At 47.2% G+C, this 25,358-nt stretch overlaps 1 protein-coding gene across 2 annotated transcripts in view, besides 5 other annotated features; it reads right to left on the bottom strand.

Moving 5' to 3' along the window:
• SHROOM2 (shroom family member 2) overlaps positions 1-25,358 on the bottom strand; it is a 163,015-nt gene that overhangs the window by 84,834 nt on the left and 52,823 nt on the right. The gene's annotated exons all lie outside the window — the stretch shown is intronic.
• Positions 3,699-4,199: an enhancer, noted in NCBI's record as "H3K4me1 hESC enhancer chrX:9828451-9828951 (GRCh37/hg19 assembly coordinates)". NCBI's record gives its function as "activates a minimal SCP1, AML or CMV promoter by ChIP-STARR-seq in primed H9 embryonic stem cells {active_cell/tissue: H9 hESC(primed)}" and the evidence as "EXISTENCE:reporter gene assay evidence [ECO:0000049][PMID:30033119]".
• Positions 4,200-4,700: an enhancer, noted in NCBI's record as "H3K4me1 hESC enhancer chrX:9827950-9828450 (GRCh37/hg19 assembly coordinates)". NCBI's record gives its function as "activates a minimal SCP1, AML or CMV promoter by ChIP-STARR-seq in primed H9 embryonic stem cells {active_cell/tissue: H9 hESC(primed)}" and the evidence as "EXISTENCE:reporter gene assay evidence [ECO:0000049][PMID:30033119]".
• Positions 7,309-7,809: an enhancer, noted in NCBI's record as "H3K4me1 hESC enhancer chrX:9824841-9825341 (GRCh37/hg19 assembly coordinates)". NCBI's record gives its function as "activates a minimal SCP1, AML or CMV promoter by ChIP-STARR-seq in primed H9 embryonic stem cells {active_cell/tissue: H9 hESC(primed)}" and the evidence as "EXISTENCE:reporter gene assay evidence [ECO:0000049][PMID:30033119]".
• Positions 20,533-21,527: an enhancer, noted in NCBI's record as "H3K27ac-H3K4me1 hESC enhancer chrX:9811123-9812117 (GRCh37/hg19 assembly coordinates)". NCBI's record gives its function as "activates a minimal SCP1, AML or CMV promoter by ChIP-STARR-seq in primed H9 embryonic stem cells {active_cell/tissue: H9 hESC(primed)}" and the evidence as "EXISTENCE:reporter gene assay evidence [ECO:0000049][PMID:30033119]".
• Positions 21,687-21,981: an enhancer, noted in NCBI's record as "tiled region #9039; K562 Activating non-DNase unmatched - State 22:ReprW". NCBI's record gives its function as "activates a minimal TATA promoter and a strong SV40 promoter by Sharpr-MPRA in K562 cells {active_cell/tissue: K562}" and the evidence as "EXISTENCE:reporter gene assay evidence [ECO:0000049][PMID:27701403]".

The following is a 25,358-nucleotide window of genomic DNA, read 5'->3' as shown; positions in this document are numbered from 1 at the left end:
CCTGACCTCGTGATCTGCCCGCCTCGGCCTCCCAAAGTGCTGGGATTACAGGCGTGAGCCACCGCGCCCGGCCTATTTATTTTTATTTTTTGTAGAGACGAGGTCTCAGCATGTTGCTCAGGCTGGTCTCAATCTCCAGGCCTCAAGCAATCCTACTACCTTGACCTCCTGCTTTGGTCTCCCAAAGTGTTGGTATTATAGGTGTGAGCCCATGGGTTGTTTTTTAGTAGAACTGTTTCGGAAGGAAAAGGACTCCTTGATCCTGGCTCTCCCTATCAGAGAGGCATGCACCCTGAAAGTCTTCTGGTCGTGGCAGTCGGTTTTCCTAATCTCTCTGTTAATGTGCTATGAAAGGCTGAAAACTTGAGTATGCAGTGTTGCTGATAACGGTGAGTGACTGTGACTTCTGATGTGACAGCTCGTCAACATCTGAAGGTACCGGCGCTTGGGGAAGGAAATGTGACCCATCCAGCAAGGCAGCAAGTTGTGAAATATCCTGAGAACATGCATCTACACTGAAGTTTCGCCCGGAGACAGACTCGTGCTCCTAAAGATGGAAACCACCACCCAAAGGTGCTGAGACTTCAAAAAATCCTAATTCCTGGCCTTTTAAGGAAAATTTGCCTCCAAGTTTTCAGCTAGAAGGTCGCTGGAGTACCTGGAAAAGAATCCAATGACACAGCTCTTTAGATTTTCTGTAAGGACATTAACAACAGGATACACATTGAAACAGCTTTGTATTGATCTTCCAAAGTATCAATAAAATCTCTATTAGGAAAGAAAAAATTCCTTTCCTCATAGTTGACAAAATTAGTAAGAAAGCAAGAAAAATGATAATACAATACAAAAAAGCTCCTCAGGAGGCTATGGCGGGATCACCTGAGCCTAGGAGTTGGAGGCTGCAGTGTGCTATGCCCACGCTTCTGAAGAGCTACTGCACTCCTGTCTGGGTAACATAGTGAGACACCCATCTCTTAAGAAATATACACCCCCCCCAAAAAAAAATAATAAATAACACTAACAAAATAAACCAAAACCCTCCTCGTGTGTTTTGGAACTAGATGCTCAAGGAGGTATTCAGTCCACAAAGGTCTAGCCCTTGTTTCATCTCTCCCTAAAATGAGGGCTGCACCACACGAGGCACCATGGCAAGGAGAGGCGCGAGGATGAGGCATGAGGAGAGGACGAGGACGTGGCTGCACCAGGTGACAAAGCCATGCTAATGGACACACAGGCCAAGGGAGTGTCATGACAGAAAACCTACGGCTGGGTGATCGGCTAGGTGAAAAGGGGGCATGTGGCTCCCAAAAATGTGGAGGGAGATGAGGTGAAGATCTGGAGGTGGTGGAGACTGAGTTGGCAGACAGCATTTCTACAGAGCAACGGAAGGCAAGCTGACTGTCCCAGGAGTGACTGGGAGAAACGGGCAGGGGTGGAATGTGCCCTGGGCAGGTGAGAGCTGCAGCGTCAGAATGCAGGCCAACTGGACGGGACCGGAAGAAGAGTGTGCATTCTGTGGCAAGGGGTGACAGTCTTCTTGGAGGGAGGTCAGCATAGAGCCCAAAGGTGTGTGCCTCCTCTCCACATGTAGCAAAGATCCTGGGGCCTCAGGACTTGGCCAAATCCTGACCACCATGTCAGCCCTGAATTTCACAGAGCACAGGCCGAGATCCACCTAAGAGATGGTTAATGGGGAGCAACGTTCAGGGAGGATTTCTGGAACACCATCGTGTGTCAGAGGAATTTACAGTGCAGCTCTGAAGACAACCTGTTGCAACATTGCCAGTTAGCAATGCATTGCCTCTGCATCCCAAATGCACCTTCACTGCCCACATGGTGATCCTGGAGCAGGACCCTGTGGGCGTTTCTCCAGTGCTGGCACCTGGTGAGCACCATCAGCAGAGGGCGGTGGAGGCACGCGGGCGGTGGAAAGGGCTTGCCTTCATCATTCCAGCGTGCTTTCCTCCCTGCCTGCTCCAGTGGGACCTGGCAGTCATGTGGCACACACAGTGGCACTAAGCTCCAAGGGCGGCCTCCTAGCAAGTTCCACTGGTGCTCTGGCGGGCAGCTTCCCAGCGACTTTTAGAGACAATTCCTCGGTGGCTTTCCACCGAGTCCCACAGACACCCCCAGCCAGCTTCCTAGTGAGCTTCAGTGGCATGCCGGGGGTGGCTCCCTACTCTCCAGCCAGCGGTGGCCCTCAGCGACTTTCTCCACTACCTAGTGAGCCATCTTCCATCGAGATTCGAATCTCAGCTTTGGAGGGGGTGGGGAGAATAGTTCCAAATTTATTCCTTCCTCAGGTACTCTGTGCCCCAGCCCTGGAGGGAGTGGCCACTCCCTCTATCTGCTATTCTCGTATTCTTTAGAGTTCTCCTTACCTATAGTAGCTACTAGTTAATAATTCGTCGATAATAGATAATAAACTGCCACAAGTTAATAGTTCTTTACATTAGGGGTGAGCAAACTTTTTCACAAAGAGCCGTAATGTAAATATTTTGAGCTTTGCATGTACACGATCTCTGTGCAACTGTTCAACCTTGCTTCTGTAAACAGAAAAGCCGTAAGCACGGGGGCATGGTGGGATTTGGTCAGTCCACGAAATCCCGCTTCCTATGAAGCACTCCTGTTCCAACTACTGTGTGGCTTCCGTCTCCTAACTAGATCCTGGCTGATACAAATCCCATGAGGCAAGTGCAGTGACAGACATGCACAGGATCCCCTGGTGGCAGACAGGAGGGAATAATCACATCAGAGGGTGGGGGCACGGAGCGTTTCAAAAGATGAGGAATGATCTGGTACTGAAGACCTGCCTCTGCCACTTACGTACACAATTTGGAGAAATGCTTCCTACTCTTGGTTTTATCACCCCAAAAATGGTGGTAAGAGCTGGTTGTCTTACATCCTAGGACGACCAGGAGGATAACAGTGAAACAATTATGAAAATATGTTGCAAACTCTAAAGTATGCTACAAGTACAGTTACAACTTATTCTGCTGTTGTTATAATTTCTTCATGTCCAAACTGCCAGTGGAACCTAGGCTATGCTGCTCCACTCTCAGGGACAGTGACAAAGTATCCGTTTTCATCATAACACGAGGAAATCAGAGCTTAAGTGGTATTAAAAAACACATTATATATGCCGGGCATGGTGGCTCACATCTGTAATCCCAGTGCTTTGGGAGGCCAATGGAGGAGGATCACTTGAGACTAGGAGTTTTGAGACCAGCCCGGGCAACACAATGAAACCAAGTTTCTATGATTTTGTTTTTAAAGTTAGTCAGGCACAGTGGCACATGCCTGTAATCTCAGCTACCTGGGAGGCTGAGGCAGGAGGACCACTTCAGCCCAGGAGTTCAAGGCTACCGTGAGTTATAATCGTACAACTGCACTCCAGCCTGGGGGACAGAGAGAGACCCTATCTCTAACAACAACAGCATCAACAAAAACATAATATCAAATGTGTTCTCTTAACCATTTTAATTGCATGGAGTTCAGTAGCATTAACTATAATCGCATTGTTGTGTAAGAGATCTCTAGAACTTGCAAAACCACAACAGTACCCAATGAACAATCCCCCATTGCCTCTGGCAACCTGCATTTTATTCCTGCCTCTGTGAACTTGACTATTCCAGATATGTCACATAGGTAGAATCATACAGTATCTGCCCTTGTAGGACTGGCTTATTTCAGCTAACATCATGGACTCAAGGTTCATCCATGTGGTTACAGGTAACAGGATTTCCTTCCATTTTGAGGCTGAGCAATATTCCACTGTATGTACACTCTCCATTCTCTTTATCCACTCGTCTGTCAATGTCCATTTGCGCTGCTTCCTACACCTTCAACTCCTGAATACGGGGTGAATACCAAAATTGATATGAGTGGCCAGACACGGTGGCTCATGTCTGTAATCCCAGCACTTTGGGAGGCCAAGGTGGGCGGATCACTTGAGGTCAGGAGTTCAAGACCAGCTTGGGCAACATGGTGAAACCCCATCTCTACTAAAAATACAAAAATTAGCCAGGCATGGTGGCACATGCCTATAATCCCAGCTACTCAGGAGGCTAAGGCAAGAGAATCGCTTGAACCCAGGAGGTGGAGGTTGCAGTGAGCCAAAATCACGCCACTGCACTGCAGCCTGGGTGACAGAGTGAGACCCTGTCTCAAAAAAAAATATTGACATGACTGGGAAAACAGACCAAGTGACTCAGTGATGTGCATGTATGTTAACCACAAGACCCACAGAAGAATGTGCATACCAGGACCATCTGTAAGAGCTACAAATGGGTTATTTTACCCAAATGTCCAATAGATAAAACATGGATAAACAATAGGACACTCCAAACCACGCTCCTCCACCTCAGCACTATTGACATTTGGGGCCGGATCATTCTTTGCCGTGAGGGCTGCCCTGGGTATTGCAGGGGACTCAGCAGCATCCCTGGCCTCTACCCACTAGAAGCCAGTAGCACCCTCCTGCCCCGAGTTGTGACCAATTCAAATGCTTCCAGATGTTACCACATGTCTCCTGGAGGACAAAACTGCCCCCAGGGGAGAACCACCAATATTCCAGAGAAAGGATAACGTATTAGAAATGGTCACCCATGGCTCATGTGGAACAGTAAAACAAAACCAAGGCACCTCTAAAGTCACGCTTTAACCTCCTGCCCTGTAAAATCCATTTACCACGGCAGGAAACAGGCAGCCGTCTTCCTCACGCAAATCATCTTCTCTCTCGCCTCTAGCAGCAACGCAAAAGAGCAGTTTGATCAGGTGAGGGGGAGGGAGGGAGGCACTGCATTTAATCAAGTCCTACTCACCACCATGTAAAACAAGCCTTGCTGTTCTGGACACCATCCCCACCCTGCCCAAACATCACACACCCGCAACAACAGGCCCTTTGTCCTTCCTCCCTAGAGAAAGTGGTCTTTCTTGCCTGCAGAGCTTTGTTTACTGGGTCCCCTCTGGAAACACCATGCACCCCCATCGCTGCTGTGCACACACTCTGCCCAGCTCGCCCACATTCAGCCCTCAGGACGCCATCTTGAACCCCACCGTCTCCACCAAGGGACTCTGTACATCTCCCAGCCTCCCTAGTGCCTGGAGCACATGGCCACTATCTGCTCCTAACCCTGCTGACAGTTACCAGCTTATGCTTCTCATCCCACAACAAGACTAGCATCTCACTGATGACAAAACCCAAATGATATCTGTTTCTTCCCTTCCTATACAAAAGCTGGTCGCAATGCAATAGGCAATGTTTCTGGAGAGGATGAACAGAGAGAAAAAGAATCATCGAACATAAGCGACGTTGTCTAAAGCCCTGCTTTCATCTTAGCACTACAGGAGGAAAAAACAAAACCTGTACCATATTCCTGGTCTTTCAAGTCCATCAATGGAGTCTCGCTCTGTTGCTCAGGCTGGAGTACAGTGGCGCAATCTCAGCTCACTGCAACCTCCACCTCCCAGGTTCAAGCAATTCTCCCTGCCTCAGCCTCCCGAGTAGCTGAGATTACAGATGCTTGCCACCACGCCCAGCTAATCTTTGTATTTTCAGTAGAGACAAGGTTTCACCATGTTGGCCAGGCTGGTCTTGAACTCCCGACCTCAGGTGATCCACCCACCTCAGCCTGCCAAAATGCTGGGATTATAGGCATGAGCCACCGCGCCCGGCCTCAAGTCCATCTTAGAAGTATCAAGAATTGTTTAGTCAAAGCACCGCCAGCAGGCTTCCAGCCAACACAGAACGCAGACCTGCCCAGATCCTCACCCCTTCTCACTCAGCTTTTTTATCTGTTTTTGAGACAGAGTATTGCTCTTGTCACCCAGGCTGGAGTGCAGTGGCGCGGTCTCAGCTCACTGCAACCTCCGCCTCCTGGGTTCAAGCGATTTTTCTGCCTCAGCCTCCCAAGTAGCTGGGACTACAGGTGCCCACCACCACACCCGGCTAATTGTTTTTGTATTTTTAGTAGACACGGGGTTTCACCATGTTGGCCAAGCTGGTCTCGAACTCTTGACCTCAGGTGATCCACCTGCCTTGGCCTCCCAAAGTGCTGGGATTACAGGCATGAGCCACCGTGCGCGGCCTCACTGAGCTTTTGAAAGCAAGTCATCACATCACTGAAGCACCCGCTTAAACAGAGATAACTGGGATTACTTAATTTTGCATTTTCAAAGTGAAAAGGCGATCTGAAAGAACTGATAGGCAACCAAGAAACAGGAAAAGGAACTGCTGGCCATTAGAACAAAGTGTCCCCGCTTCTCAGAACGCACAGCTGTTTACTTTAATGGACATTCCCATCCTACTGCTATTTCAAAGGGACGGGCCTTGTTCAGTGAGATAATCTAATGCTGCCGCCGTGCAACGTCAGGGAGGCCTAGGGGGCACTGAGCCGAGGCTGCTGCACCTTTCTCTGGAGTGAACTCAAAGGGCCCCTCAAGCCTTTGACTTTTTATTGGGTAACATATGGATGATCTCACCCGTCACAAGGGCTATCTTTCTTTTTTGAACAACTCTCTTCAGGGATGCCTTTGTCACAGCCTAGGCAGCAGAGCCTAAGAAGGCAACACGGGGAAAACATAAAGCCCTGGAGTGCACACGCCAGCGCTCGCAGAGGCTGGGAGGGGCCGCTGCAAGTGGAGGGGCTGCATGTATAGAACACACACCCTCAGGATGGGGTCTACAGCCTCGAGCACTGGGCATTGTGGTGAAGGGACAGGGTCCTTCCTTCTGAAGGAGCAGCCACTACCCAGTGTCGGGGGTAGTGACTGCTCATGGGGAAATGAGCAGCCAGGATGCACGAATTTTGCAATGTGTTTAATGCAGCTGAAAATCTGGAATTTCGGGGGCGGGGTGGGTAATCTCCCTGTGTCTGCAAATGTTCACAATCTTTTTGCTTTTAAAACTAAGTGAAAGCACGGTGGACACAGTGACTCACACCTATAATCCCAGCACTTTGGGAGGCCAAGGCAGGAGGATCACTTGAGGCCAGGAGTTCGAGACCAGCCTGGGCAACATGGTGAGGCCCTATCTCTACAAAAAAATTTTAAACATTAGCAGGGTGTGGTGGTGTGTGCCTGTAGTTCCAGCTACTCTGGAGGCTGAGGCAGGAGGATCACTTAAGACCAGGAGTTTGAGGATGTAGTGAGCCGTGACTGCACCACTCTGCACTCCAGCCAGGGCGACAGAGCAAGATTCCATGTCTCTGAAAAAAAAAAAAATTCTTAATTAAAAAATAAAACTAGGTGAGGCCATCCCCACTCCCCCTAAAATCATGTCCAAGGGTCAAACGTGTAACCACCAACTGGCATGCTCTGGTGCAGGAAACTCACACCCCACTCTGTATAAACATCAATTCCTTCCGCATTATTTTTGTGTTAGAATCCACAGTGTCATGCAGGATCCCTACACACCAAGGTGGTGTTCTCAACGTTCCCTCACTGTTTCTCTTCATCCTAGACTTCATTAGCATGTCACCTTCGTGTCCTCTTTCTGCCTCTTCAAATTTGACTTCTCTATCAGGGCTTCATTCAAGTCCCACGTTCTCCAGGAAGACCGCACCTTTTGGAACTGACGTCCTCCTCTCTCCCCCATTACTAATATCAGAGGATCCCTGGCAGCCATCAGCCCTGCCCTCCTTAATATCTGAATCCACCATGGAGACTGGAGCAGCCTCGTGCCCCCTTGCAGCGCAGGGTGGCATGTGCGGTCCCAGCGGATGGGGGAAAGGCAGAAGTCAGCTGCAGGCTTGAGGAGAGCCTTTGTCTCTGCAATCAAAGGGGCAGAAATGTCTGGTACCACCCTTTCCCTTTTCTTCTGGTCTTAAACAAAGACAGGATGCGTGGGGATGCAGCAGCTACCATGCAACTGGGAGAGAAAGGCCTGAAGAGTCACGGAGGCCAGGAACAGCACAGCCTCTTGCCCAGAAGTAGGGGTGCCCCGGCGCTGCATCCCAGGGGCAAACGCTCCAGTCCAGGATCCCCAGTGAGGCAGTTAGAAGAATGGAACAACTCTTCCCAGAAAACACTGACATTTCTCAAGACTCATCATTATATAAGTCCAGATGATTTTTCCTTTAATGTTTATAACTTAAAAACCAACACTCAACAGAATAGTTCTAAACAGCAAAACTTTGTTCACTTGTGTAATTAAAATATAAAACATCTCAATCCCAATAGATTGAGGGGTATAATCTATTAATGCGTCTGAGGAACAAGCAAAGAAAAATGATAATGTCTGGCTGTTTTTATGTTTTTCTTTAAGACACAAATTGCATCTGCCCGAAAAATGGGGCTACACGGAGGTAGTTTTTTTATTATGCTAAACACATTCCTCATCTCATCAGTGGTATTATTTCTCCATGCTGAACTCTTGTTAGAATCAAACCAAAACAGCCAAACTATTCTCTAATTTGTAAGCCTCCTCTGAAAGTACTTAAGATTTATGCCACTCTAATCAAGACACCACTGAACAAAACCCAGAAGCCCTTTGTTGACTTTTTCCAGCAGACAACTCTCAAAGGCAAAGCATTTATTTCCCCCAAGTTCATTCGGTTTTGCTTTAAAAAAAAAAAAAAAAAAAAGGAAACATTCTTAAGTCTTTAAAAAATGACTCCCATTCAAAGTAATTAATTCTTCTGAGACAGCAGCACTCAGCCTCAGCTAAAGCCGAGTAACTTAGGAAGATTTTTAGTGCGCTTTGGCGGGTATGCAACCTTCTGCCAGGATGGTGGAATCTGCCCACCTCTGCTTTTCCAAGTTAAAACCCGAATTAGTCATCCATCTGCCACAACACTGAGTTAAGCGTGTGCCTAGTTCGTGGTGGGCAAGAGTTTGCAGAGCACAGCGACAAGGCGGCTGACACACCCGATGGTCGTACAAGTCAAGGATGGGTTCATCGCTTCTTCCTGGCGCAGAGCAGTTCCCACTTTCCTTGGCAAAGTCTCAGCTCCAAAGCTGTTTCTGAAACCGTAGCAGCCTTGTTTCACTCCACATCCTGTACTGTACTCAGTCCTTTTAGGGACAAAATCTGATGCAATATCTATCTATCTATCTATCTATCTGGATTAATATGGGAATAGTTGGGATTTTTATCGAGTTCAAAAATTGGGGCATCAGCTATTTTCCATGACAGATAAAAAAAATTTCTGCCCCCAAATTCTAAAAACAAAATAAGCGTAGGTAACAGTGACAGATTCTGAACAGAGCTAAAATGCATAACACAATGGGCAAAGGTCCTTTTTACCACATTTTGACATCGAGGGTGCCAAGATATGATAGGATGCCTTTTTTTTTTTTTTTTTTTTTTTTTTACTATACTTTAAGTTCTGGGATACATGTGCAGAACGTGCAGGTTTGTTACATAGGTATACACGTGCCATGGTGCTTTGCTGCACCCATCAACCCGTCACCTACATTAGGTATTTCTCCTAATGTTATCCCTCTACCCCCAACTCCCCGACAGGCCCTGGTGTGTGATGTTTCCCTCCCTGTGTCCAGGAGTTGAACAATGAGGATGCCTTTTTTTTTTTTTTTAAAAAGAGTGGACCACTTACACATATGTAATTTTTAAAGTAACAAAGTTTAAAACAGCCACAATTAAAAAGGAAATAAATTTTAATTTTTTGGTTCTCCTTTAAAAAGATGCCCTGAACATCTGCCGCAGACTCACCCGTGGCATTCTTTGAAGTGATTTTGACATGAGACATGCTAAGATTACGTGTGCCGTTTACTCCAAATAAAATCACCGAGGAGGAGTCTGCAATAAGGCCCAACTCCCGTGTTTCTGTTTCTCCTGACCTTATGAATTTAATATAACTCTCCACAGTACAATCCCAATTTAAATATGGCCATCCTGTGTTGCTCACACCACTACAGCAGAAGCTCTCAACTCCCTGCCCCCCAAGCTGTGATTCCCACTCTTAAAAACAATCGTGGGATGAGAGGTCAGGCAATTATTTCTTTCTCAATTTTACAGAAAAGCAAACTCAGGACCGTGAAGAGTAATGAGTTGCTGTGACAGTCACTCTGTGTATGCGACTTTCACAAGAACAGCAGGGCTGGAATCGGTGGGCACCAAAGCTTTAAAACACGAGAAAATGCAAAATAAAGGGATGGCAACTATGACCCCCATCCAGGTGCCTTCAGCAGGTCAATCTCAGCTGGGCTCCACTCCCTCAACTGTGTGACAAGAGGCTGGAACCAGATGTGGGCTGCAGTCTCCTCCCGCTATCCAACCCAGAGAGCCATCCCGACACCCCTTCCTCCCCTTTATAGACAAGGCACCCAAAATGGGAACATGAAGCAATGGCCCAAGAGGCAAAGCCTCTCCTAAACTGGCAATCACAGGTTTGAGTGGCATTTCTTCTTTTTATGATGTAACTGCTCACGTCCGATCTGATAAAGCAATTTTTGGCAGAATCTCTAACTTAAATCTAATTATTCCTATTCAAAATGCAATTTAGTTTATAACAGTACGCTTTACAATAGAGTTCTCAGGAAGCCACTGGGGTTAAAAAGTGAAACTGTCCTTTGTGATTTGCAGCATAATACCCACATCCCTACGTGTACCTGGTCTGAAGTGTCAACAACGTACCTGATTTAACCCTAAAAGCACAAACCAGACTAACGAGCCTTGGCTTTCTCCATAAGGCATGGAATTTGGTATCTATTTTCTAAGACTGTCTCTTCTATTCCTTCATCTGGGTGGGGTCACAAGTATGATTTGCTGTGTGAAAATTCATCAATGTCTATGCTACCATGTGAGCACTTTTCTGTACCTAGATTCTCTCTCAAAACATTTTATTACCCTTTGTTATGGGGCTGAATTATGTCTCCCAAAAAGATATGTTGAAGCCTCACCTCTGGAACCTGTACATGTGGCCTTATTTGGAAATAGGATCATTGGAGGTGTAACTGGTGATGACGATGTCATCCTGAATTAGGGAGGGCCCTAATCCAATAACGGTGTCCACAACAGATGAGGGAAATTTGGACACAGATAAACAGGGGAGAACTATGTGGAGACGGAAGCAGAGATTGGCATGATGCATCTGCAAGTCAGGGAATGCCTGGAGTCACAGAAGCAGGAAAAACAAGGAAGGCTCTTCCCCCAGAGCCTTCAGAAAGAGGCTCTGCAGACACCCTGATTGCAGACTTCTGGCCTCCAGGCCTCTTTACTATGAGACAACACATTCCTGTTGCTTTAAGCTTTGTGCTAGGTACTTTGTTATGACAGCCCTACGAAACAGATGTAGCCTCCATTTGCTACAAGAAATGGGCTAGTAAGTGAGCACAAAGAACTGCTGGTGTGGCCACTGAATGTTCCAGAAGGAGATCAGGAAGCCTCAGTCCTCCACAGCTGGGGGCTCACTGGCTGCTCACACACGCCTCTCCCGGAGTCCTGGCAGGTGGATCTGGGGTACCCAACCCCTCCACGGGATGCTTCTGGATCCTGTCCCCAGCAGAAAACACTGGGGCTCGCTTAGGAGCTGGTGGTGCTGGGTCTGTCAGCACCCAAGAAATACATCTATATAAAAACAGGCTTTCCTATTAAAGAGGAAACCATCCACAATCCCACTGAGAAGCACACTCTCAAGGCTGTAAAGATGCCGGCTTTTCTAGATTGGTTCCACTGCATACCGGAGAATGCAGAGTGAGGCACATAGTAGGTCTACATCCATCCATTGTTAACAACTTGAGTGGGCTGGGCACCACTGGCTAAAGAGGGTATGTTTCCAGCTCTCCCCAGAGATAGAAACACACATTAGAAGCAAACCAATGACCTTTTCTGGGCCTCAGTTTCCTTATCCATAAAATGATCAGTTCAATCCTAAAGATCTTTTCTAGCTTTACAATTCTGCCATGACAAATTACAATCATCATTTTTATTGCAGGTCAAATTCGACTGTCTTTAAAATTGCAATTCATACAAATTTTTGCACCAATAAGGTGCACTGGGTATCCCAGGGGGAAAGTGGGCGATGTGAGGGAACCTCTTGGGATGGAAATGTCTTGCGTCTTGACGGTCTCTATGTCAATATCACACCTGTAAAATCCCAGCACTTTGGGAGGCCAAGGCAGAAGGACCACTGGAGACCAGGCATAACAGAAAGAGAAAGCCTTTGGTAGACCCAGCTCGGAGCAGACCTTCAAGGTGATGGCAATAAGAACTAAGCTTCAGGTGCCATGAAAAGCCAGCAAGGAGCTAGACTAATCCCAGCTGGAAAACGCCTGCAGGTGGTCTGGGAATCAGAGGGTAATATCTTTGGTCCCCACTCCCCTGCCAAGGCAGAAAGTGAAGGATCCTTCCTAAAAGCAAAGCATGGGGAAAAAATCTAGTTAATTAAATGTTTCAATTAATCAAAGCATTAGCCAAATATGTTGCCCGGAGGTAGCCTGGAGTTTTTTCTGATTACCGCATCTACCTTTTCATGGGCACTAACCTCCTCCAAAGTATGTGAATTGCTCAGCAGCTAGCAGTCATGCCTTACATTCCAACACATCTTGATCCACTTCACGAGAGACTGCTTTTAACGAGCGTGCCCTCTCTACTGGACCATAACTCTTTAAAGGAACAGAACAAGGGAGTGACAGGCCTCTCTCCAAATACACTGAACTCCTGTTAATTCAAAACTAGAAGTTGAAGGGATACATCAGACTTCAGTCACCTGGGGAAGATCCTTGGCTCTCAGTTAAATTCCAGTTTAAACGGTCAACAATTGATTAACAGAGTTTTACTATATAATAAAGTTTTGAACTTGATATCTTTATAGCAAGAGAGAAGTTAAAAGGGGCAATGTGAGGGAACCTCTTGGGATGGAAATGTCTTGTGTCTTGACGGTCTCTATGTCAATATCACACCTGTAAAATCCCAGCAGTTTGGGAGGCCAAGGCAGAAGGACCACTGGAGACCAGGAATTTGAGACCAGCCTGGGCAACACAGCAACACCCCATCTCTACAAAAAAAAAAAAAAATACAAAAATTTGTCAGGTGTGGTGGCGCACACCTGTGGTCCCAGCTACACAGGAGGCTGAGGTAGGAGGATTGCTTGGGCCCAGGAGGCTGAGGTTGAGGCTGCAGTCAGCCGTGATCACGCCATTGCACTCCAGCCTAGATGACAGAATGAGACTCTATCCAAAAAAAAAAGAAAAAAAAAAAAGCAATATCCTGGTTGAAACATTGTTACCATCATATTACAAAAAAGGTACTGTTGCCACGTGGGGAACCTGGGTACAGGACCCATGGCATCTCTCTGTATTGCCACCTGAAGCTATAATGATCTCAAAATAAAAAAAGAGGCCAGGCATGGTGGCTCACACCTATAATCCCAATACTTAGAGAAGCCAAGGCAGGAGGACTGCTTGACGCCATGAGTTCAAGACCAGCCTGGGCCACATAGCAAGACCTGATCTCTACAAAAATTAAAAGCGTTAGCCAGGCTTGGTGGAGTGTGCCTGCAGTCCCAGCTACACAGAAGGCTGAGGTGGGAGGACCACTTGTGCCCAGGAGGTGGAGGCTGCAGTGAGCTGTGTTTCTGCCACTGCACTCCAGTCTGGGTGACAGAGTGAGACTCTGTCTCTAAAAAAAGAGAGAGGAAGAGATGAGACTGACAAAGAGGGGATCATAAGGCCACGCTGGTCTACCAGGGGCTGGAAACAAAGGGATCTGGCTGACTTCCGGAAGGCTGTGGTGAGAGGCAGGGGCCCTCCCATTAAGACTTATCAATACCAGGGTACAAGTTTTTCTGTTTGTTTTCTCTTTTTTTTTTTTTTTTGACACAGAGTCTTATCCGCTAGCCCAGGCTGGAGTGCAGTGGCACGATCTCGGCTCACTGACCTCCTGGGCTCAAGTGATCCCCCCACCTCAGCCTCCTGAGTAGCTAGGACTACAGCTGTGTGCCACCGCACCTGGCTAATTTTTGTATTTTTTGCAGAGACGAGATCTCACTATGTTGCCCAGGGTGGTCACGAACTCCCTGAGCTCAAGAGATCCACTCGCCTTGGCCTCCCAAAGTGCTGGGATTACAGGCGTGCACCACCACGCCTGGCTTAGGTCATTTTCATAAGGACATGGGGTGCCACAGAGAAGGGGCATATGAGCCAGGAAGCCAAACAACAATGCTGGCCCGCTGTACAACTGTGAGGAGAGGGCGAACTCTCATGGAGCAACCAGGGAGCAGGCCGCTAACTCACTTCATAACCTGAAGCGACTTTTTGGAAAGATTAGAGAAGTGACTATACCAAAGCTGCAGTGATGTGGCCTGTCAACCAACCAACCAATTAATCAATAAAAGAAAATGACAGCCAACCAATCAATAAAAGAAAATGACAGCTTGTAGCAGAAAAGCAGGCATGTAAGAAGGTCAGCAAGTGGGCATCTCCGCTGGCTGGCCTTTGGTCTACACAATGAGCAGCGCCCCCGGGTGCTGCAGACGGGAATGATCCCACAGAGCTGCCACGCAGCCCAGCCTGGCCCCAAGATGCCCAGCAGGTATGAGAGGGACAATACACACCCAAGGTTCAGGGTGCTCACCTCAAAAGTGTCAGTCTCCGCTCAGGTGCAGCAGTGTTCTCTCCTTCAGTTCTCCCCAGTGTGACAGCAGGAAACCACTGTCCCCAATCCTCCCCACCAAAACAGTATCTGAGAGGTACCTGCTCTGCTTCAACGTGTTGTTAAAAACTGTACAGCAACAGGCACTCTCTTAAATACAATCTAATGTATCCATTCCTTGCTAAATTGCATGCAACTATTTTGATGCCTTTTAAACTCAAGAAAGAGTATCCTATCTTGTCTGCTGGTGTTATCTTCATTGTACCTACAAGCTAGGGAAGAGATTGGCAAAGTTCTCTGAAATTACCTAGAGCTAATGTGATGAGGAAACTTCTTCCCACAACTGCCTCCTTCTACCCCAGAGCGAGATATCTGGACAGGGCATGTGTGGTGGTGGGGGTGCTCAGCCCTACATTGATGGCAAAAGGTTCTTGATCCAGGAGCAAATAAAGACATGCTCTAAGGCGACGTGTAAAGCTGCCTGCCATCACCCCAGAGGGATGGACCCCAGGAGCACTCAGCAGAGAGGAAACTTTGGTTACTGCTCAAACTCCTAGCCACGCCCGCCCAGCTTAGCAAGTGCCACAAGGCCACCAGCACCCCCATAGGGAAGCTGCAGCCCTGGTCCCACATGGGCAGCCTCTAAAATCAATCCCATGGAAAGGTTTGTTTCAGGGCGAACTGTGGGGAGGAGTCTGGGGAAGGAGGGCAGAATGTGCTGCAGAGGGAGGAGAGATCAACAGGAGGTGAAGCAGAGGTGGGAGTACACAGAAGCTCCCACATGGACTGCTCCTGCCAGCCGGCGCCTGCTGTCTCTCCTCCCAGCCTCTGTGCTGAGGCACAGAGATCCACGCTCCCATCTTCCTGGGTCCTTGGGTGCATCCAGGAGGGCTTGCAGCACTCCTACACCATCTGCCAAAGGAGGCCGCCCTGGGATGCTCCAGACTATAGATTCCCAGATAGGCCACAGCAAGGGAAGCAGGAGAGAAGCTCGGTTTCCGACACAGTGCCTTCCAGGAGACCCACGGGTGAGTCCAGCTGTACTGTTAACTCCTGGAGGATGCAAACGGTCGCTCTGGGGTGGGAATGTTTACCTGAGTGGACGGTTGTTTGCTCTGGCCCTTTAGGTGAACAAAGTGGATGAATGGAAGGGAATCCAGGCATCCCAGGAGTTCATAACACAATGTTCTTCACGGAGCGCTGCACTCACGCAGGGCACCAGCTGGTTCTCAGCACACGTTACTATTGAGAGCTTCCCCTAACCCTGGCAGATACACCTGCATGTCCCCATCTTGTCGATAAACTGATTCGGGAAGCTAAAAAATTGGCCAAAGGACAGACACTTTATTCGTCCCAGAGATATGAGGTAACATGCTTAGGGCTGCATGGCTCATTACCGGCAGAGCATAAATCAGCACATGATAAAGTCTCCTCCTAGTTCCTCTCCTCACATCCCCGTATAAAGAGAGTTTTATCTCTAGACATGTAGAACTTAAATACTTAGATACTTAGAACATGCTTTTCTTTTTTTTTTTTTTTTTTTTTGAGACGGAGTCTCGCTCTGTCGCCCAGGCCGGACTGCGGACTGCAGTGGCGCAATCTCGGCTCACTGCAAGCTCCGCTTCCCGGGTTCACGCCATTCTCCTGCCTCAGCCTCCCGAGTAGCTGGGACTACAGTCGCCCGCCACCGCGCCCGGCTAATTTTTTGTATTTTTAGTAGAGACGGGGTTTCACCTTGTTAGCCAGGATGGTCTCGATCTCCTGACCTCATGATCCACCCGCCTCGGCCTCCCAAAGTGCTGGGATTACAGGCGTGAGCCACCGCGCCCGGCCATGCTTTTCAATACATACCTGACTTGACTTCAGCAACATATCAATAGCCACAAGGGATACACAAATTCAGGTTCCTCGATGGCCTCAGTATACAGTGGGGAATCTGTAAACGTGGATCTGCAAATCTATGCAACATGTTTTGCCTGTTAATCCACACAACATTCGCCCTCAGACATGGGGAGTATTGACCTGCTGAGAATATAAGCTTTTCAGGTTGTTGGTAAACAGGCCCTGGAGTGCCATATCCATAATCTATTTCTCCATCTTCCCCTTCCCTGGGCATAGCAAGTGAGCAGCCACAGATGCAAAGGATGAAAGCAAAGAGAAACAATAAAAAAGTGATAACTTTGTTACAACACGAGTAAATCAGAGGGAAAAAATCACGAGAAAAGGACTGGCCAACACTGTAAGTGTCCAAGAGACTAGGGAATGTTGTGTAGAGCTGTTTCCACATGTAACTCAGCACAAGCATTTAGGCATTACCAGAATGCAGACTCCAAAAGTGCTAGTAAGGATAACAGCAATACGTAAAATAAGTCCTAGGTCTCATTCATATTTTAGGACTGGCCGAGGCTTACACTAGGACTTCTTAGGACAGGACACTTTATGCAACTGGCCGTTTTGCAAGCTATTCTCCCAATAAAAGTGTTTCCCTCATTCATTATTCCTCCAACCCCCTTTTCCCTCTGATTAGAGTTCAACTTATCCAGACATCCCCCTAACACTATGTCTCTTACATTCGTCGGAGCTGATAATCTGGAGAGTATGTTGACATTTTCCAGCCATATTTGGATTCGCACAGCTATTGTGACAACCACTAAAAGTCCTACCTTCCTTTGGTGTGCACTGCATTCCAACCCAGCACGGTTAGTCATTGCAAAAGACTGTTTATGACACAGCATTCTCATCCGTCAGGCACGGCCTGGTGCCGGAAAGGCCACTGTAGCAGTCACCCCTCTTGTAATAAAAACAAAATCCCCACCAATAAAAGGCCAATAGAGTTTGTGGTACAACAATTTTGAGGTTTAGTTCCTCTTCACTGGGGTTGAACATTATGAGACTGGTTTGCCGGCCTCATTCTAGAAAGAGGTTTGTCGGGTTTCATGGATACTGAGCTAACACCAAGACAAGCACGGAATAATAACAATGGCTAAAGGCTTTTGGAAACCAAAATGAGAAAACCAGCAGATCGAAGATGATATTCTGGTGGCTGAATTGTCCTTTCAAAAGGTGGGCTGTCTTAGAGCCCAGATTTCACCTATGAGACTCGTCTCAAACCTTCATAGCCATCAGAGCTGGTGGCAGCAGCCAGCATGCGTCCCCGTGCTCCATGAAACAGCTGCAAAGGGACTGTGGGAAAACAAGGAATTCTCTGGAAGGCAGACGCCAACCACAGATCAGCCAAGCATGGGCTCAGAGGCGGCACAGATGCCAAATCCATGTTCAAAATGGCTCATCTCTGGGGAAAGATGAAAGAGACGATAGGAAGGTCTTAACCTTCCTTAGCCACTAAGAATTCTTTAGAAAAACACACAGACTGGAGGCAGTGGCTCATGCCTGAGGTCAGGAGTTCGAGAGCGGCCTGGGCAACATATCAAGACCCCATGTCTATAAAAGATAAAATAATTGGCCGGGTGTGATGGCTCATGCCTGTAATCCCAGCAGTTTGAGAGGCTGAGGCAGGCGGATCACGAGGTCAGGAGATTGAGACCATCCTGGCTAACACGGTGAAACGCCGTCTCTACTAAAAATACAAAAAAATTATCTGGGTGTGGTGGCACGTGCCTGTAGTCCCAGCTACTCAGGAGGCTGAGGCAGCAGAATCACTTGAACCCGGGAGGCGGAGGTTGCAGTGAGCTGAGATTGCACCACTGCACTCCAGCCTGGGTGACAGAGCGAGACTCCGTCTCAAAAATAATAATAATAAATAAAAGAATTAGCTGTGCGTGGTGGCATGCACCTGTGGTCCCAGCTACTCAGGAGGCTGAGGCAGGAGGATGGCTTGAGCCCAGGAGTTTGAGGCTACGGTGAGCCCTGATGGCACCACTGTACTCCAGCCTGGGCAACAGAGTGAGATCCTGTCTCAAAAACCAAAACCAAAACCAAACAAACTGAGGTTCACAGCAACAAAAATGAATAAACTACAACTGCCACCAGAAACAATATGAATGAATCTCACAAAAGTAATGTTGACTGAAAAAGCTAGACACAAAAGAGTCCATACTAGATGATGCTATTTATATAAAGGCCAAATAGAGGCTAACCTCATCTATAGTGTGGACATTCAAGACAGTCCTATATTTGGGGGGTTGGGGAGGCTCAAGGGCACCCCTGGGGAGCTAGAACATTCCTAAAACATAAATAGGAATGTTCCATCTCTTGATCTGGGTAGCGAGTTACATAGCTGTGTTCATTCCACAAAATGTAGAGGAAGGGGTTGCGACACTGCAGCTGCCAGGAATTATGTTTCTCAACTCATGAAGAGGGACTGTCTGCAGCAGACGGGGTGAGACCAGAGAGGAGCAGAGACGGACAGAAAGGAGGGTGACGGGAGCCAGTGTGGGCTGGTGTGCGCAGAGGTGAGGGCCAGGTCCTGGCTCTGAGTCCTTTGTCTCTGGAACTACCACTCCCCTCATCCTGCCCAAGTAGATACAATAAAAGCCTTTATTTGTTTTCCAGAAAAAACAAAAAGGTGGGTGGGGGTGGGTGACAAGGTGGGATGGGAGATGCTAGCTTGGAATGACTCCCCTGCCATTTCAAAAGTGAGCTGTTCCAGCAGGAAGCAGGGGGAGAAGTTATGGAGAACTGTGACCCCGGCTAACTGCTCAGGCTGGCTTCTTGTTCAGGTTTACTGGGTGGGTCTAAATCTCTCGAAAACATTCTTTAGCAACACAGCGCTTGCTAAACAACAGAGTCAGTGCCCCATAAACATGGGCCAAATGAGCCAGACTCCCTAACAAAGCAAAACAAAAACAAGAAAAAAGTCCTGGCAGTATACACTTCTGCAATAAAGTAAGGGTCGGCCAACTACAGCCTTTGGGCCAAACCTGGCCTGCCACCTGCTTGGTGAATAAAGGTTTAGTGGAACACAGCCACGACCTTCATGTATACACTGGCTGTGGCTGCTTCCTGCTACTGCAACAACCCTGAGGAGTCCCACAGAGAACAAGTGGCCCAAACAGAAAACATTTACGGGCTCCTAACAGAAGACACTTGCCAACTCCCACGCTAGAGAAATACTTTAACTTGCAAATCCAGCATCAGGAGATTGGAGGTGATGGTAGGCAACTGAGCAAGAGTGGGAGTTGAGAGGAACGCAGGAGCACACCAATTCGCCAAGAACTTTCAAACACTATTTTGAAATCTACCATTTTTTAAATTAATTAATTAATTTATTTATTTATTTTAAGATGGAGTTTCGCTCTTGTTGCCCAGGCTGGAGTGCAATGGCACGATCTCAGCTTGCTGCAACCTTTGCCTCCCGGGTTCAAGCCATTCTCCTTCCTCAGCCTCCCGAATAGCTGGGATTACAGGTACCCGCCACCACACCCAGCTAATTTTTTTATAATTTTAGTAGAGACAGGGTTTTATCATGTTGTCCAGGCTGGTCTCGAACTCCTGACCTCAGGTGATCTGCCCACCTTGGCCTCCCAAAGTGCTGGGATTACAGGCATGAGCCACTGCATCCGGCCTTAATTTTTTTATTTTTTTGAGACAGGGTCTTGCTCTGTGGACCAGGCTGGAGTGCAGTGGTGTGATCATGGCTCACTGCAGCCCCGACCTCCCAAGCTCTCAAGTGATCCTCCTGCCTCAGCCTCCCAAGCAGGGGATCACAGATGCACACCACCATGCCTGGCTAATTTTTAAATTTCTTGGAGAGATGCCGTCTCACTATGTTGCCTGGGCTGGTCTTGAATTCCAGGGCTCAAGAGATCCTCCAGCTTTGGCCTCTCAATGTGTTGGGATTACAGGCATGAGCCACCATGCCCAGCCTAAAATATTTATTTTTAGGGTGCACAACAGCACAGAATAAGATAAATAACATATCCACAGGACATACTCAGCAGACCCTCCTGTCTGGGACAATTATCTCTACAAATTTGCTATAACTTAGCAGCTCTGATCACTAATATTTCAGTAACAAAGTTTCTCTGCCTAAACACTTTCAGAAGAAAAATAATTTTTTCCCTAAAGAAATTTCATCATCAAAGGAAATTTTCCAAAGCATAGGAATTGTGGAAAAATCTTCATTAATTCCTACAGTTAAGAAAAGTTAGAAAATCAAAACTAAAAAACAAAACATATCGTGTGTAATGAGAATGGTCTGTGGTCTTCTTTGCAAAAAGCCATAACCTCATTCTACCATGAGAAAATCATCAGATGAATCCCAAGAGGGGTACAGTCTACAAAATTCCTGACCAGTACTCCTCAAAAAGGTCAGAGTCATCAATAACAAGGAAGGTCTGAAAAACTGTCACAGTCAAGAAGAACCTAAGGTGACAGGAAGACTAAATGTCATGTGGGCCGGGCGCAGTGGCTCACGCCTGTAATCCCAGCACTTTGGGAGGCTGACGCAGGTGGATCACTTGAGGTCAGGAGTTCGAGACCAGCCTGGCCAACATGGTTAAACCCCAACTCCACTAAAAACACAAAACAATTAGCTGGGCGTAGTGGTGCAGACCTGTAATCCCAGCTGCTCAGGAGGCTGAGGCTGGAGGATCCCTAGAACCCGGAAGGCAGAGGCCACAGTGAGCTATGATCACGCCACTGCACTCCAGCGTGGGAAACAGAGAGAGGCCTTGTCTCAGTTAAAAAAAAAAAAAAGTCATGTGGTTAATCCCAGGACAGAAAAGGACATTAATGGGAAACTGGGAAACTAAGGAAATAGGAACAAAGTTTGGGCTTTAGTTAACAACAAATAATGTAGCAATATTGGTTCATTGCTTGGACAAATATACCATGGTGATGTGAGATGTTAACAATAGGGGATGGCAGGGATATATGGTAATTGGAAGAAAAAAAAAAAACAATAGGGGGAAGCCCAGTGTGGGGGAGGTGAGAATTCTCCTTACTATCTCTGCATTTCTCTGTAGAGCTAAAACTCCTCTAAAATGGTATTTAAAAAACAACAACTTTGTACTGTGTGCATAGGACAAATGCAAACATCCTGGTTGGCCCCAAGAGTGACCAGCACCCTCCCCTGAGCCGGTGTTTTTAATGAGGTGGCCCTGCCACGCAGGAGCCACACAGCCTTTCTAAGGAGCCAGACAGGGTCTGAAAAGGGCTCCTGGGAAGCTGCAGACAGCTCTGGGGTCAAATTCCAGCTCTCTCCCTCCCTGCCCTCCTTCTCTCCCTAAGACAGACCCCACCCAACCCCAAGCAAGAGGGGAGGGAAGGAGGAGGGAGGGGCAGACAGCCAGGGACAGACAGACACAGGCAGATCCAGGACTCCTGCCCTCCCGCCTCGCCCCAAGCCAGGACAGCTAGGTTGGCTTTCTTGTGGAATTCAAACGACCAGACAACCCAGCCTGCAAGCTACCGGCTCCCCACAGCAGCCTTTCTTGTGGTGGGAGAGGAAGAGGGGGAATTCCTTTGAAAACCCTAAACCACAGACGTTTGTGTCATCAAAGAAGGTGCTGGCTTCAGACTCAAGGACAGAAAGGAGGGAGGCACCTGCGGAGCCCACCATGCTTATGATTTACCAGGACAAGTCAGCCGCTGTGTGCCCTACCACGGTGGGTTTCCTCCCAAGGACACCAGGGCAGGTGGAGACCTGCAGTGGTGAAAAGGAAACAACAGGAGGATGTCTCAGAGCGATCTGTCAGAATCCCATGTGGATCTTCAGGGATTTAAGTGAAATGAATCTGGCCAGACACAGTGGCTCACACCTGTAATATCAACACCTTGGGATTATCTATTTTTTTAAATAAAATTTTAAAAGTTTTCTAAATGCAGCAATCGTGAAGTAAAACAACAAGTTAAGAGGAAAATGATCCAAACTCTAAATTTATGTTGCCTTAACGAGTATTAAAAGAAATGAATCTCAGGAAGTTATAAATGAAAAATTTACAACCTAAAATCTTAATTAGGTTACCAAATGACTATAGCATGCAGACAGTATACAACACAGCATCACCACACATCATTAGGATGTTTTTATTTTAGAAACAAAGTCTCACTCTGTCACCCAGGCTGGAGTGTGGTGGCGCCATCATAGTTCACTACAGCCTGGAACTCCCAGGCTCAAGTGATCCTCCCACCTCAGCCTCCCAGTAGCTGGGACTACAGGCATGTACTACCACACCTAGCTAATTATTTTTTTGTTTGCTTCTTTTTAAATTTTTCTGGAGAGACAGTTTCCCTATGTTGCCCAGGCTGGTCTTGAACTCCTGGGTTCAAGCAATCCTCCCACCTCGGCCTCCCAAAGTGCTGGGATTCCAGGCATGAGCCATCACACCTAGCCTCATTAGAATGTTTGAACATCAGATGTGATTCTGTGGCCCACTGCATTAAGCATTCTGTGCTCATTTTTACACATAACTCATTCCGAATTGGTCTGCTAAGGAACTCCCTTAGCAATGAGGGAAGGCCTCCAACTATAACTGCCTGCCTATGCTGTGGGGTCTGACCTGCAGGACTCATCAGCCTGGATAATGTGAGTTCGCATTTTGTGTCTGGCATGCAGCAAAAACAAAAGCTACTGTGATTCTACCACCTCTTCCAGTGTCTCCCTCCTGCCTCCTCCTTCCCTTCCTAGGAATGTTAGATGGCCCAAGTCAGAAACTGCAGTTTTCATTATTTATTATGTAAGCCAAAGAGAGAAGGCAAATGAAACGATTCAAAAGCATGTACAAGAACTTATCTTCTACAATATTTTATGCATTATAAAAATCCTCACATACATATTATTTTACCATATTTACTGCCATGGAAGATATGAAGGATTTTAAAAATAGAAAAAAAAAATGGCCAGGCACAGTGGCTAATGCCTATAATCCCAGCACTTTGGGAGGCCGAGGCGGAAGGATCACCTGAGGTCAGGAGTTTGAGACTAGCCTGGCCAAAACAGTGAAACCCCATCTCTACCAAACATACAAAAATTAACCAGGCGTGGTGACGGATGCCTGTAATCCCAGTTACTTGGGAGGCTGAGGCAGGAGAATTGCTTGAACCCAGGACGTGGAGGTTGCAGTGAGCCAAGATCGCGCCATTGCACTCCCAGCCTGGGTGATGACAGCAAGACTCCCTCTCAAAAAACAAAAACAACAACAACAAAAATCTTTCAGTCTTCAAGTAACCGTAATGGGAAAAGTTTTCCAAAGCAAGTTATGTGCAACATTTATCTGCTTTCTTAAAAATAAATATTCACTACAGAAGAACCAAGAGTTCTATATTATATAAAAGTATAAAGAAGTGAGGGGGGAGCTCACCCATATTCCACAACCAAAAGACAAACATTTAACATCTTGGTGTACTCTCAATTCTTCTTCCCTTTCTATGCTGCAGCTGCAATTCTACATTAGATTAGAAGCATCTACCCTACTATAAACAGCCCACCTCATAAACAGCAGCTTGAATTGCTAAAGAATATTTTATAGTCTGAATGATTTCATAGAATTCTGAGTGTTTTCATTTAGCATCTGTGAAAATAGCAGGCCAGGCAAGGTAGCTCATGCCTGTAATCCCAGCACTTGCGGAGGCTGAGACAGGTGGATTGCCTGATTCCAAGAGTTCAAGATCAGCCTGGGCAACATGGTGAAACTCCGTCTCGACAACAAAATACAAAAAATTAGCCAGTGTGGTGGCGCACACCTGTAGTCCCAGCTACTTGGGGAGCTGAGGTGGGAGAATTGCTTGATCCCAGGAGGTGAGCCATGATCATGCCACTGCACTCCAGCCTAGTGACATAGACCCTGTCTCCAAAAAGAAAAAGAAAAGAAAATAGCAACAGATTTTAACTCCAAGGTTAAAATTTTTGTTTTCTAACATATTCCCAAGAATTGAAAATGGGAACCAACTGCATGTGAGTTGAATTTAGAGTATTTCCTGTGTAACAGGACTTCCTCTAGTACATATGCAGACATTCTCTTAATTTTTAAAACATATTAAAATATCAAGAGGGCCTAGAAATGGTACCCTGAAAGGAAGTGTCCAGTCTTGTGTCCTCTTTCCAAATCAACAGCACAGCCCTTCATCACCTGAAAACTTTTCCCATCCATGATAAAGTGATGGTCTCCGATGACCTCAAATAGAGTAGGAAACAAGTCTTACCCAAACTCGGAAAGCAGAGTCAAGGTTGAAGTTAGAGCTCGATGGCACCGGAAACAGACATCTGCACAGGCTGGAGCGCCCTTCTCTCCATCAGGGTCAAGAGATAGCTTTCACAGGACACTCTCTTTGTTCTCCCTGTGGGCTCTCCTTGCAACGGTTTTCTAAAAACTAGCCTCTAATATTAACACAAAATGCCACCAGCATGTAACTTGCTACCCAACACTGCACTAATACTCAGCAATGCAAAGCAATGAGCTCTTGATCCATCTGACAACACGGGCACATCTCAGAATGGTTATTCCAAGAGATAGGAGCCAGGTGGAAGGGAGCACCTGCTGCAGGACTCCATCTACATACAAGTCCAGAAAATGTACAGTGACCTAAAGGGACAGAAAGCAGCTCCGTGCTTGGGCTGGGGACACAGGCAGGAGAAAGAAGATGGCAAGGGGGCGCATGTGTGATGTTTCGGGTGTGTGGTTTGCTCATCATCTGCCCCACAGTGATAGTTTCATGGAGGCGGGAGCTCTCTGACCTTAGGACTTGTCAGATGAGCAAATGCGGCTTCCTTTCTGGTCAGATTCCAGACCCAGGGAGATGTGGGTGACAAGAAAAGATGACCAATGGCTCAGACATAATGCACCCACACCACAGAGGGTGATGGTAAAAAAACGCGTCTCTGCCCTGCTGCCTCGTTGCTATG

Source organism: Homo sapiens, chromosome X, assembly GCF_000001405.40.
Source record: "Homo sapiens chromosome X, GRCh38.p14 Primary Assembly".
Classification (NCBI taxonomy): Eukaryota; Metazoa; Chordata; class Mammalia; order Primates; family Hominidae; genus Homo; species Homo sapiens.
This window is presented reverse-complemented; position numbering and strand designations above follow the sequence as displayed.